Below are 13,287 nucleotides of genomic sequence, written 5' to 3' on the forward strand. Positions count from 1 at the left end.
AAGATACAAAAACATAAGGGAAGCCAAACAGAATAAATGAAAGTAAAACTACACAGTTACATCACAGTAACATTGAGGAATACTGTAGATAATAAAATTTGTTTAAAACAGCCACAATAGTAAAGAAGGATTCTCTACAAAAGAATGGTGGTGGCCAGGCATGGTGGCTCACACCTGTAATCCCAGCCAGCACTTTGGGAGGCAGCGGTGGGTGGATCACCTGAGGTCAGGAGTTTGAGACCAGCCTGGCCAATATGGCAAAACCCCGTCTCTAGTAAAAATACAAAAATTAGCTGGGTGTGGTAGTGTGCACCTGTAAACCCAGCTATTTGGAAGGCTGAGGTGGAAGAATCACTTGAACCTGGGAGGTGGAGGTTGCAATGAGCCAAGATCATGCCATTTGCACTCCAGCCTGGGCGACAGAGTGAGACTTTGTCTCCAAAATGAAAATGAATGGTGGTGGATTTCTTAACAATGGGACCCTAAAGACCTCAAAGTTTCCAGAGAAAATAATTGTCAATCTGTAATTCTATACCCAGAAAAATGATCTTTCAATACTAAAGGAAAATTAGAAATATTTTTATGTTACATAACAACTAAGAGTTTACCAACACATCTTGACTCAAGGAAAACAATTGACAACCCAAAATTTTATACCCAGCTAAACTAATATTCAAGTAGACTTTAAAGGATATATTTCAGGAAGAAGGACAATGATCACAGAGGGAGAGGCTGAAGTCAAAGAAGGAATAGTGAATAAAGAAATTGCTAAAAGTGGCTGGGCACTGTGGCTCACACCTGTAATGCCAGCACTTTCGGAGGCCAAGATGGGTGGATCGCCTCAGCTCAGGAATTCGAGACCACCCTGGGCAACATGGTGAAGCCCCACCCCTACTAAAATACAAAAAAATTAGCTAGGCATGGTGGCGTGCACCTGGAGTCCCAGCTACTCAGGAGGCTGAGGCATGAGAATTGCTTGAGCCCAGGAGGCAGAGATTACAATGAGCTGAGTTATGCCACTGCACTCCAGCTTGGGCTACAGAGTGAGACTCTGTCTCAAAAAATAAATAAATAAATAAAAGTATTTTTAAAAGGAAATCATTAAAAGTGGATAATTCTAAACACACTCTCACTAGATAAATAATATCTAGTTAGACAAATATATAATTATAGTAGTTAAATATATCATCCTTATAAACATTTAATTTATGGAGTTTAAAATAATAATATTACAAGTGCTATGGTCAGGCAAGTATTAATAAAAAGAAAGCTGATGTGGCTAAACTAATATTCTCTTTTTTTTTTTTGAGACAGAGTTTTGTTCTTGTTGCCCAGGCTGGAGTGCAACGGTGCAATCTCGGCTCACCGCAACCTCCGTCTCCTGGGTTCAAGTGATTCTCCTGCCTCAGCCTCCCGAGTAGCTAGGATTACAGGTGTGCGGCACCACGCTGTGCTAATTTTGTATTTTTAGTAGAGACGGGGGTTTCTCCATGTTGGTCAGGCTAGCCTCGAACTCCCAACCTCAGGTGATCCACCTGCCTTGGCCTGCCAAAGTGCTGGGATTACAGGTGTGAGCCACCATGCCCAGCACTAAATTGATTTTCAAAAAAATATATTTTAAGACAAAAACCATAATTAGGGAAAAGAAGGCCGGTATATAATAATGAATAGTATTGTTCAGAGGATGTAAAGATTCAAAACATGTATGTACCTGAAAACAGCCATAAGTATGGGGAAAAAATGAAGAAGACTGCAAGTAGAAATTGATAATTCTATCATAAAAGAAGATTTCAACACAACTCTCTCAGTGACTGCCAGGTCAAGCGGATAAAACATTAATAAAAGGTGAATAAGATTCCAATAGCACATTTCGCGAGCTGGATTTAAAGCCATATCTAGACGTGACCGTTAGAGAGGACACATTATGCTCTGGTACGTGTGGAGCACTTACAACAATCAGCACACGCTTAGACATAAGGCAGGGCTTAACACACTTCAAAACCCACTTATGACAATGAGCACATGCTTAGACATAAGGCAGGGCTTAACACACTTCAAAACCCACTTAGGACAATGAGCACACGCTTAGACATAAGGCAGGGCTTAACACACTTCAAAACCCAGTGTCATATGACTTCACTCTCTCAGCCAAATGTAATTCAACTCTCAATCACTCACTGAGGAAGAGTGTTAAAATACATCTGGAAACCTTATAACAGATTTCTAAATCATTCATGAATGAAAGAAAACGTAAAATATTTAGAACTAAATAATAATGTATCCCTGACACACTTACATTAGTAAAGAAGAGCAGCTGAAAATTAAAAAGTTAAGCATCCGGCCGGGCACGGTGGCTCATGCCTGTAATCCCAGCACTTTGGGAGGCCAAGGTGGGCGGATCATGAGGTCAGGAGTTTGACACCAGCCTGGCCAACACGGTGAAATCCTGTCTCTACTAAAACACAACAATTAGCCGGGCATGGTGGCGCAGGGCTGTAATCCCAACTACTCAGGAGGCTGAGGCAGGAGAATTGCTTGAACCCAGGAGGCAAAGGTTGCAATGAGCCAAGATCGTGCCACTTCACTCCAGCCTGGGCCACACAGCGAGACTCTTGTCTCAAAAAGAAACAAACAAACAAAAATGTTAAGCATCCAACTGAAGGAAGTCTAAAAATGACAATAGGAATATACTAAGAAAGTAGAAGGATGAAGATAAAGGTGAAACATAAATAAATGAAAAACAAAACAAAACTAGAACTAAAAATATCTAAAACTAAATTAGAACTAAAAGCAGAACTAACATATATAAATTTGATTTCTTGAAAAAATTAATGAAATGGCCACAAGATCTCTGAAGGGAAAGACCGGCAAGAGGCACAAAACCCTACTGAGAAATGAGAGGAGGGCTGCTCTACAATGCAGCAGAGGGCAACATGAGTGATCTCACAGCAAGGCAACTTGGAAAATTACACAAAATGGACCATTTCTAGAAAAACATTATTTGCCAAGTTTGATTCATAGAGAAACAGAAAGCCCAAAGAGTCCTATAATCCTAGAAGAAATTAAGAAGTTAAAATCTTCCCACAAAGATGTCAAAAATCTAAGACAATTTTACATGTTCTGCCAAAATTAAAAAGAATATTTTATCCCATTTTACAAACTTCAAAATGTAGGCAAAAGTGGGCACATGACCTAGTTCACTGTAGGACTCTATCATAATCTCAATACAAAGACAGGACAAGTGTGTACCACAAAAGAAAAAGCACACTCTTGGGCACGGATGAAAAATCCTATATAATTATTGCCCTATCCAATCTCAAAAATGTATAAAAAGTACCGTTAACCACTGCACCCCCAACACACAGTCAAAAATCTACGTATAACTTTTGACTCCCCCCAAGTTGATGACTAGTAGCCTACTGTTGACCAGAAGCCTTACAGATCACACAAACAGTTGATTAACACATATCTTATGTTGTCTTTATTATATGCTATATTCTTACAATCAAGTAAGCTAGAAGAAAGAACATAATATTATTAAGAAAATCATAAGAAAGAGAAAATATATTTGCACTTCATTAAGTGGAAGTGGATCATCCTAAAGGTCTCCATTCTCGTCGTGTTCACAATGAGTAGGCTGAGGAGGAGGAGGAAGAGGAGGGCTTGGTCTTGCTGTGTTAGGAATGGCAGAGGCAGAAGAAAGTTTGCGTGTAAGGGGACCCATGCAAGTCAAACCTGTGTTGTCCAAGTTTCAAACTGTGTATGATATTTTGGTTCAGTTGGGATTATTCCAGGAATCCAAGGTTAATTTAATTTTAGAAAATGTCTAAGTCATTCCATTCACATATTAAAGGAGAAAAACCATATTGTCATCTCAATGGTTGCCCCAAAAGCACATGGTGCTTCTAAAGAAGGGAGAGACTTGCTCATCAGACCGCGCACCTCAGAACAAAGCTGTGATAATGAATATAGAACAACACAGCACGGAGAGAAACGGATCAACGGAATGGGAAAGAGAACCGGGACAAAGACCCGCACATGTGGCGACTTGAGTTCGTCAGAGCTGGCCAGACATATCTGTTGGAGGAAGACGGAATAGTCTTAAATACCCACGAGGAAAAGAAGTGAAATGGAACTCTGCCTCCAGCCTTCCAAAGCAATCAGTTCCAGGTGTAGACAACACCTCAATGTGAAAAAACAGGGGGGCCTTTAGAGCAGAGTATTTGGCTTTACACACTTAGATAACAGCAAAAGAAAAAAAAACTTGCAAAGAAATCTTAAATTTCTCTTACTAGTATTACTGGCTGTAGAGATATTGGAATTGTTATTTTGAAAACATGTTAAATATAGGGTAAGCTAAAGCTAGTAATTACATTAAAGTTGTTAGGAGCCAAAATTTTCCATATAAGAGAAATGACATACAAGTACAAAACCAAAGAAATTAAGAAAAACTCTTTTTTTTTTTTTTTTTTTTTTGAGACATGGTCTCTGCTCTGTCACCAAGGCTGGAGTGCAGTGGTGCCATCTCGACTCACTGCAGCCTAGACCTCATGGGCTCAAGCAATCCTCCTACCTCAAACTCCCACATAGGTGGGACTACAGGTGTGCACCACCACACCCAACTAATTTTTTGTATTTTTTGTAGAAATGAGGTTTTGCTATGTTTCCCAGGCTGCTCTCAAACTCTTGAGCTCAAGCGATCTACCCACCTTGGCCTCCCAAAGTGCTGGGATTACAGGCGTAAGCCATTGTTCCCAGCCTAAGGAAAATTTTTAATGTTAAATTTGAATTGGAACTATCAATAGGAACTCATGATTTAACCTGGGTTTCTAAATGCCATTTCCCCACTTTAAAGACCCATGGACTCCTCAGTAAGTAGCTGAGTCCAGGTCTGGTGCAGGAAATGTGTAATAAGATAAGGCTGGAAGATCTTGTTGTGGCAGAAAGCAGCTGAATTAAGATGCATAGATTATTGGAAATATGAAAAAAGAATATAGTGGCCAGAATGATGGATTTTGTTAGTGGGGTAATGAAGCTGTGATTATGCAGGAAGCTTTCCTTCTTTATTCAGAAATGCATACTCAAGTATTTAGAGGTAAAATATCATTTATCTCTGCCCATTACTTTTAAATTTTCCAGCAAAAATGATGAAAGAGCTCCCACTGACCAAAGAATGATGACTGAACTGGATCAAAACACATTAAATATATAATAATCCGTGAGTCCATAATGATACATCAAAAAGTCAAAGAAAGAAAACTAAAGCAAAAAGCAAACAAAAACTCATCTGCCACCATCAGAGACAGCCCATTGCACAAACCCCTTACCCTGAAAATTGGTAATTAGAGAGAAAGATTCAAGCTTTTCTCCTGCCTCGCCAGCAAGAACTACACATATGTTGCAAGTATTGCCGACTCAATTCCAGGCCGCTGCAATGTCACATAAATGTTTCAGCTTTCCAGTGCATACAAAAGTTATCTTTATACTTTACGTAGTCTAGTAAGTGTACAATACCATTAAGTTGAAAAAAAACTGTACGTACCTTAATTTTAAAATATCTTATTGCTAAAAAATGCTAATAATCATCTGAGCCTTGGGGGAGTTGTAATCTTTTTGCCGGTGAGGGTCTCGCCTCAGTGTTGATGGCTGCTGACTGATAGGGTGGTACTTGCTGAAGGCTGGAGTGGCTGTGGCAGTTTCTTAAATAAGACAACAATGAAGTTTGCCGCATCAGTGGACGCTTCCTTTCATGAAAGCGGCACTCCCCACGATTCAAGTACAGATGGTCCCATCTTAGGACAATTCGAGTTAATGATCTTTCAACTTTATCGTGGTGCAAAAGTGACACACCTTCAGTAGAAACCATGCTTTGAGCACCCACACAACCATTCTGTTTTTCACTTTCAGTGTAGTATTCAATAAGTTACACAAGGTATTGACACTTTATTATAAAGTGGGCTTTGTGTTAGGTGATTTTGCCCAACTCTAGGGTGAAATCATATGCCTGTTAGCCATGTTTTTTTGGTTTTTGTGTTTTTTTTGAGACAGAGTCTCACTCTGTTGCCCAGGCTGGAGTGCAGTGGTGCCATCTCAGCTCACTGCAACCTCCGCCTCCCGGGTTCAAGAGATTCTCCTGCCTCAGCCTCCTGAGTAGCTGGGACTAGAAGCACCTGCCACCATGCCCGGCTAATTTTTGTATTTTTAGTAGAGACAGGGGTACACCATATTGGTCAGGCTGGTCTCAAACTCCTGACCTCAGGTGATCCATCCGCCTTGGCCTCCCAAAGTGCTGGGATTACAGGCGTGAGCTACCAAGCCCGGCCTTTGTATATCTTCTTCTCAGAAATATCTGTAAGTTGGCCAGGTGCCGTGGCTCACTCCTGTAATCCCAGCACTTTGGGAGGCCAAGGAGGGCAGATCACAATGTCAGGAGTTCAAGACCAGCCTGACAAACGTGGTGAAACCCCATGTCTACTAAAAATACAAAACTTAGCCAGGCATGGTGGCGCTTGCCTGTGGTCCCAGCTACTCCGTAGGCTGAGGCATGATAATCCCTTGAATCTGGGAGGCAGAGGTTGCAGTGAGCCAAGATTGCATCACCAAACTCCACCCTGGGCAACAGAACAAGACTCCATCTCAACAACAACAACAACAAAAAGAAATGTCTGCAAGTGTTCTGATCACGTTTAAGGTCAGGCTATGCTATGATGTTCAGTAAGTTAGGGGTATTAAATGCATAATGCATTTTCTTTTGAGACAGAGTCTTGTTCTATTGCCCAGGCTGGAGTTCAGTGATGCAATCTTGGCTCACTGCAACCTCTGCCTCCCGGATTCAAGGGATTCTCGTGCCTCAGTCTACGGAGTAGCTGAGACCACAGGCACACGCCAACATGCCCAGCTAAGTTTTGTATTTTTTGTAGACACAGGGTTTTGCCATATTGCCCAGGCTGGTCTTGAACTCCTGGGCTCCAGTGATCTGCCCACCTCAGCCTCCCAAACTGTTGGGATTACAGGCGTGAGCCACCTCACCCAGCCTGCATTTTTGACATGATATATTCTTAATTGATACATAATTTTTGTACATATTCACGGGGTGCATGTAAGCTTTTATTACATGCATAGCATGCGTCATGATTAACTCAGTATTTAGGGTGTCCATCACTTCAAGTCTTTGTCATTTTTATGTGTTGGGAATATTCCAAGTCCTCTCTTCCAGCTCTTTTGAAATAAACAATACATTGTTGTCAACTATAGCTACCCTACTCTGCTATCAAACATTAGACATATTCCTTCCATCGCACCATAATGAGTGCATTTGTGCTCATTAAGCATCCTCTTTTTGTCCTCCCCCTCCACTGGAAGGAAATAATGTATACAGTGGTCCATTTTCAAGACAAAGTGCCTTAAATCGGCTTAGGTCAGCAAACTACAGAAGAAGCAGGATATACTAGGCCCTGGGTTGGATAGCCAATGCCTGCTTGTCACCCACCCTCCCGCCACCTACTTAAGTTGCCCTCACCCAAACCAAAGAAGTTTGGTCTAAGATAAAAGTTTGCTAGCCTGTAAAATAGCTTGCCTTGTCTGTTCGTATCAGCCTGCCCAGCTACTTAGGTCATAAGTCAAATACTTGAAGAGCCCCTGAGCTAACTAGGATTGCAATGCATTGTGGGCTGCAACAAAATGCAGCAAGACAACTCTAAAGAAAACACCTAAAGCCCCTGCCCAACAACCAATAGGTGACGTCCAGGAAGGTTGTGACCCCATAGTACTCAGCCTATGAGGAACCGGGGGAGGGACCTGCACACGAGGGGATAAATTGCTTGTTGAAACTGTGCTGGGTGTGCCTGCCCACCAGACACCCGATCTTGCAAGACTGTCATTAAAAGTTTCACTTTGGCTTTTCTCCGGGTCTCTAAGTCCATTCTTTGGGTTTGGATGGGTGAGTTTGTTTCTCACATACCCACGCACCCTTCCTAGACTCTGGGATCTATCGTTCTCTTCTCTGCCTCAGAGGTCAACTTTTTTCACTCCCATGTGTGAGTGAGAACATGTGATGTTTGTCTTTCTGTGACTGGCCTATTTCTCTTAACATAATGACCTCCAGTTCCATTCACGTTGCTGCAAATGACAAGATTTCATTCTTTTTATGACCAAACAGTATTCCATTGTGTGTGTGTGTATATATATATCACATTTTCTTTATCCATTCATCCATTGATAGACAGTTAGGTTGATTCCATATCTTGGCTACCGTGAGTAGTGCCGCAGTAAGCATGGGAGTACAAGAATCCCTTTCATATACTGATTTCCTTTCCTTTGGATAAATACTCAGTAGTGGGATTGCTGGATCGTATGGTAGTTCTGTTTTTAGTTTTTTGAGAAACTTCCATACAGTTCTCCACAATGGCTTCACTAATTTACATTCCCACCAACAGAGCATAAGTGTTCCCTTTTCTTGGCATCCTTGTCAGCATTTATTTTTTGTCTTCTTGATAACACCAATTCTAACTGGGGTGAGATGATATCTCATTGTGGTTTTGATCTGCATTTCCCTGATGACTAGTGATACTGAGATTTTTCTCGTATGCCTGTTGGCCATTTGTATGTCTCTTGAGAAATGTCTATTCAGATCTTTTGCCTGATTTGTTTTTTCAAGACTGAGTTTCGCTCTTGTTGCCAAGCTGGAGTGCAATGGCACAATCTCGACTCACTGCAACCTCAGCCTCCCGGGTTCAAGCGATTCTCCTGCCTCAGCCTCCCGAGTAGCTGGGATTACAGGCGCCTGCCACCACGCCCACCTAATTTTTTGTATTTTTAGTAGAGACAGGGTTTTGCCATGTTGGCCAGGCTGTTCTCAAACTCCTGACCTCAAGAGATCCGCCCACTTTGGCCTCCCAAAGTGCTGGGATTACAGGCGTGAGCCACCGTGCCCGGCCTATTTATTTTTTAAACAGTGTCTTGCTCTGTCACCCAGACTGGAGTGCAGTGGCATCATATTGGCTCACTGCAACCTCTGCCTCCTGGGTTCAAGTGATTCTTCTGCATCAGTCTCCCAAGTAGCTGGGACTACAGGCATGCGCCACCATGCCTGGCTAATTTTGTATTTTTAGTAGAGACAGGGTTTCATCAAGTTGGCCAGGCTAGTCTCAAACTCCTAGACTCAAGTGATCTGCCCACCTCGGCCTTCCAAAATGCTGGGATTATGAGCTACTGCACCTGGTCACATTAAAAAAAATTTTTTTAGCAACAGGGTCTCACTGTATTGTGCAGGCTGGTCTCAAACTCCTGGTCTGGAGTGATTCTCTCACCTTGGCCTCCCAAAACTCTGGGATTGCAGGCGTGAGTCACCTTGCCCAGCCTGCTGGGAGTTTTTATCATGAAGAAGGGATGTCGAATTTTATCACATGCTTTCTCTGTATCTATTGAGATGACCATACGGTTTTTGTCCTTTAATCTGTGATTTGACGTATTGCATGTATTGATTTGCGTATGTTGAACCATCCTTGCATCCCCAGGATAAATCCCACTTAGTCATAATGTATTATCTTTCAATGTGCTATTAGATTCAATTTGCTAGTATGTTGTTGAGGATTTTTGTGTATCTATTCATCAGGAATATTGACCTGTAGTTTTCTTTTTTGTTGTTGTGTCCCTGCCTGGTTTGAGTATCAGGATAATGCTGGCCTCATAGAATGGGTCAGAGAGAATTCCCTCCTCTTCAGTTTTTTGGAACAGTTTAAGGAGAAATGGTATTAGTTCTTTTTTGTAAGTTTGGTAGAATTTAGTAGTAAAGCCATCTGGTCTATAGGCCTTTTGCGTTGTTGTTGGGAGATTTTTATTACTGTTCCAATCTCATCACTCCTTATTGATCTGTTCGGGTTTTTTTGTTTCTTCCTGATTCAATCTCGGCAGCTACGCGTGTCCAGGGATGTCTCCATTTCCTCCAGGTTTCCAGTTTCTGAGTGTATAATTTCTCATGTAGTCTCTGGTGATCTTTTGTATTTCTGTGATATCAGTTGTAATGTCTCTTTTTTGTTTCTGGTTTTGGTTATTTGGGTTGTCTCTCTTTTTTTCTTCATTATCAACTTAGAATATTTTCAGCTTCCATTTATGATGGGCTTATCAGGACATAGCTCCACCATGAGGTGAGGTGTGTCTGATGTGCTTACGGTGGGGTTTAAGTGCTCCCACAAGCCTGCTCTGACAGTCTGTACTTATTTGGGGTAAAAAACAAAAAAAAACAAAAAAAAAAAAAACAAAAAACTTAGCTCTGCTGACAAATAATGAGTCATATTTTCCCACAAAGTTAATTTTTGAAATAACAAAGGAAATTAAAGAAAAAATGTTCAGGCTGGGCACGGTGGCTCACACCTGTAATCCCAGCACTTTGGGAGGCCGAGGCAGGCAGATCACGAGGTCAGGAGATTGAGACCATCCTGGCTAACACGGTGAAACCCCGTCTCTACTAAAAATACAAAAAATTAGCTGGGCGTGGTGGCGGGCACCTGTAGTCCCAGCTACTCGGGAGGCTGAGGCAGGAGAATGGCGTGAACCTGGGAGGCAGAGCTTGCAGTGAGCCAAGATCACACCACTGCACTCCAGCCTGGGCGACAGAGCGAGACTCCGTCCAAAAAAAAAAAAAGTAAAATGACAGGAAAAGATATAACATTCAAACAGCAACTCAAAGAGAGGTGGAGTTCCTATACTAATATCAGAAAATATAGATATTAAGACAAAAATTATTGTTAGAGACAAAGAAGGATGTGTTATAATGATAAGAGGGTGATCCATAAGGAAGATATAATAACTAGAAACACATATGCACTAGCTGGGCACGGTGGCTCATGCCTGTAATCTCAGCACTTTGGGAGCCTGAGGCGGGTGGATCACGAGGTCAGGAGATTGAGACCATCCTGGCTAACACGGTGAAACCCCGTCTCTACTAAAAATACAAAAAATTAGCTGGGCATGGTGGCGGGCGCCTGTAGTCCCAGCTACTCTGGAGGCTGAGGCAGGAGAATGGCCTGAACCTGGGAGGCGGAGCTTGCAGTGAGCCGAGATGGCGCCACTACACTCCAGCCTGGGCGACAGAGCAAGACTCCATCTCAAAAAAAAAAAAAGTTTTGCTTCATGGGAAATCCCCAAAGTCCCTCCCCACACCCCATGGGACCAAAGGGCCCTAGACCTCAGGGTGGGGCCTGCAGCGCAGGGAGCAGAGCCGGCAAGGAGCTGCCCTCAGGTCGTTCCTGGCCACACAGCCAGCCTCGGAGCCACTGAGAGGCCTGCCCTGGGTCCCGAATCTAGACGCCCCTTCCAGCCTCAATCTTTCTTCCAGGGTAAGCAGCCTGAGAGGCCAAGAGGACAGTCCACCGAACCCTGAGCCCAAGGCCCAGGATTCCTTGCTTAAACATCCCCAAGCCTGGATCCATCCTCCCGAGGTAGAGCTGCCTGAGCTGTACCCAGTCCTGCTGGCCTGAGGGGCAGCCAGGGGAGGTGACGTGGTGCTTTTCTGGGGCTGCAATGAGCTCAGACCCACGGGCTGGGTGTAGCATGTGGGCTCATTGAGGCCCCTCACAATGTGGGGAAATCGGAGAGGGGACTGGCTGGGGCTGGCCCTCCTGCAAGGACTTCTGAGAGTGCTCCAAGGAGCCCTGGGGTCCTCCACTTGCCCCTGGCCTTCCAGGCCCTCACACACCATTGTTGTCCAGACAGAAGAGACTGGGCGCTGTGGTTCACGCCTGTAATCCCAGCACTTTGGGAGGCCGAGGCGGGTGGATCATCTGAGTTCAGGAGTTCGAGACCAGCCTGGCCAACATGGTGAAACCCCGTCTCTAATAAAAAATACAAAAATTAGCCGGGCGTGGTGGCACGTGCCTTAATCCCAGCTACTTGGGAGACAGAGGCAGGAGAATCGTATGAACTCGGGAGGCAGAAGTTGCAGTGAGCCGAGATAAAGCCGTTGCACTCAAACCTGGGGTACAAGAGCGAGACTTCTCTCAAAGGAAAAAGAAAAAAAAAAAGACAGAAGAGAACCTGTTCTGTCTAACTGCCTTTTGCTTGAGTGCAGGGAAGGCAGCCTCCCTTCATACTCATGCCCCAGCCCTGCAAATGTCACAGCAGGACCCACCTGGCTGCCCCTCCCCATACCCAGAGTAACCCTCACCCAGAGTCCCTGGAGGACCCAACCCTCGGGGGCATGCCTGGGGCCCAGCTGCATTCAGGCATCCAGCAACCCAGCCAGAGGGCTGGGGCTCCCCAACCATGGCCGGGAGGTAAGGGCTGAACCCAAGGCCAAATCAGAGCATCAGGAAGGTGAAGAGAGATCTGGGAGGGGCTAGGGAGAGGATGGATCTCTTCCCCATTCACTTCCTGGCCCACCCAGACTGGCCCCAGGGGTGCAGCTGACAGGCCCCACCCTTGGGAACTGCACCCTCCTGACTGGTGTCCTGCAGGCACCCTGAGGCCATCACCCTGGACCCCTGCCCTACATAGGCCTTACAAGGAGGAGCCAGGGTGGACACCCAGACCTCATTGAAAGTAGGAGTGTTCTCAAGGTCCCAGACCTTACTCAGGGACCCCAGTCGGGGGGTGGGGCAGTGGGAGGCAGAGCCCCTTGCTAGGAGCTTCTAGCCAGGCCCACCTTTTCAGATATGCCAGTGAGCAGCCCCAGCTTCGTTCTCCAAGATAAAGACCCTAGTTACCTCCATTGCTCAGCCTCCCTTGCAGCTAAGTGTAGCCATGTGACTAAGTTCTAGATCAAGTTCCAGATCACAGATAAGTGGAAGTGCCCTGTGGGACTTCCAGGAAGTCTCCTCTGGGATGTCCCTTATTCTCTGCTAAGAACACAGAGGCAATGGCTGAGTTCCAGCAGCCACTGTGAGGCCATGAAGGCAGGGATCCTAGGGACTGGGATCTGAGAGCCTGGCTCCCAATGGCAGTGGAGCAATGCCATCATCTCTAGCAAGGCCGTCTCTAGCCTGCCAGCCCCTGGACCTGCTTAGTGTTCGAGAGTAATGAACAACCTTGCTGAAGCCACTGTTCCTTAGGTGTCTGTGGCCTGCAGCTGAACTTGACTCCGATTCGTAGGCCCGCAACTGGAGGGCCTCTACCTCGAGGGAGTGGGGTGTAGATTTTTCCTGGAGGTGAAGGTTCTCAGCCCTACCCTCTAGCCCGCCCACCCAGCTCCAGCCGTCTGTTTCTGTCTCAGATGAGAGGGGGCCTCTCAGGACAAAGAGGAAGTAGCTGGAAGGGGAAGGAGCCAGCTGCAGAGAGGAGGAGGTGAGCTGC

General features: G+C 44.7%; 2 annotated features.

Moving 5' to 3' along the window:
* Nucleotides 3,860-4,085: a silencer, noted in NCBI's record as "fragment chr14:105381788-105382013 (GRCh37/hg19 assembly coordinates)". NCBI's record gives its function as "represses an EF-1alpha promoter that drives an FKBP-Casp9 reporter gene in an ReSE screen in K562 erythroleukemia cells {active_cell/tissue: K562}" and the evidence as "EXISTENCE:reporter gene assay evidence [ECO:0000049][PMID:32094911]".
* Nucleotides 11,017-11,066: an enhancer, noted in NCBI's record as "active region_9125". NCBI's record gives its function as "activates an Ori minimal core promoter by ATAC-STARR-seq in GM12878 lymphoblastoid cells {active_cell/tissue: GM12878}" and the evidence as "EXISTENCE:reporter gene assay evidence [ECO:0000049][PMID:35858748]".

Source organism: Homo sapiens, chromosome 14 (genome assembly GCF_000001405.40).
Source record: "Homo sapiens chromosome 14, GRCh38.p14 Primary Assembly".
Taxonomy (NCBI): Eukaryota; Metazoa; Chordata; class Mammalia; order Primates; family Hominidae; genus Homo; species Homo sapiens.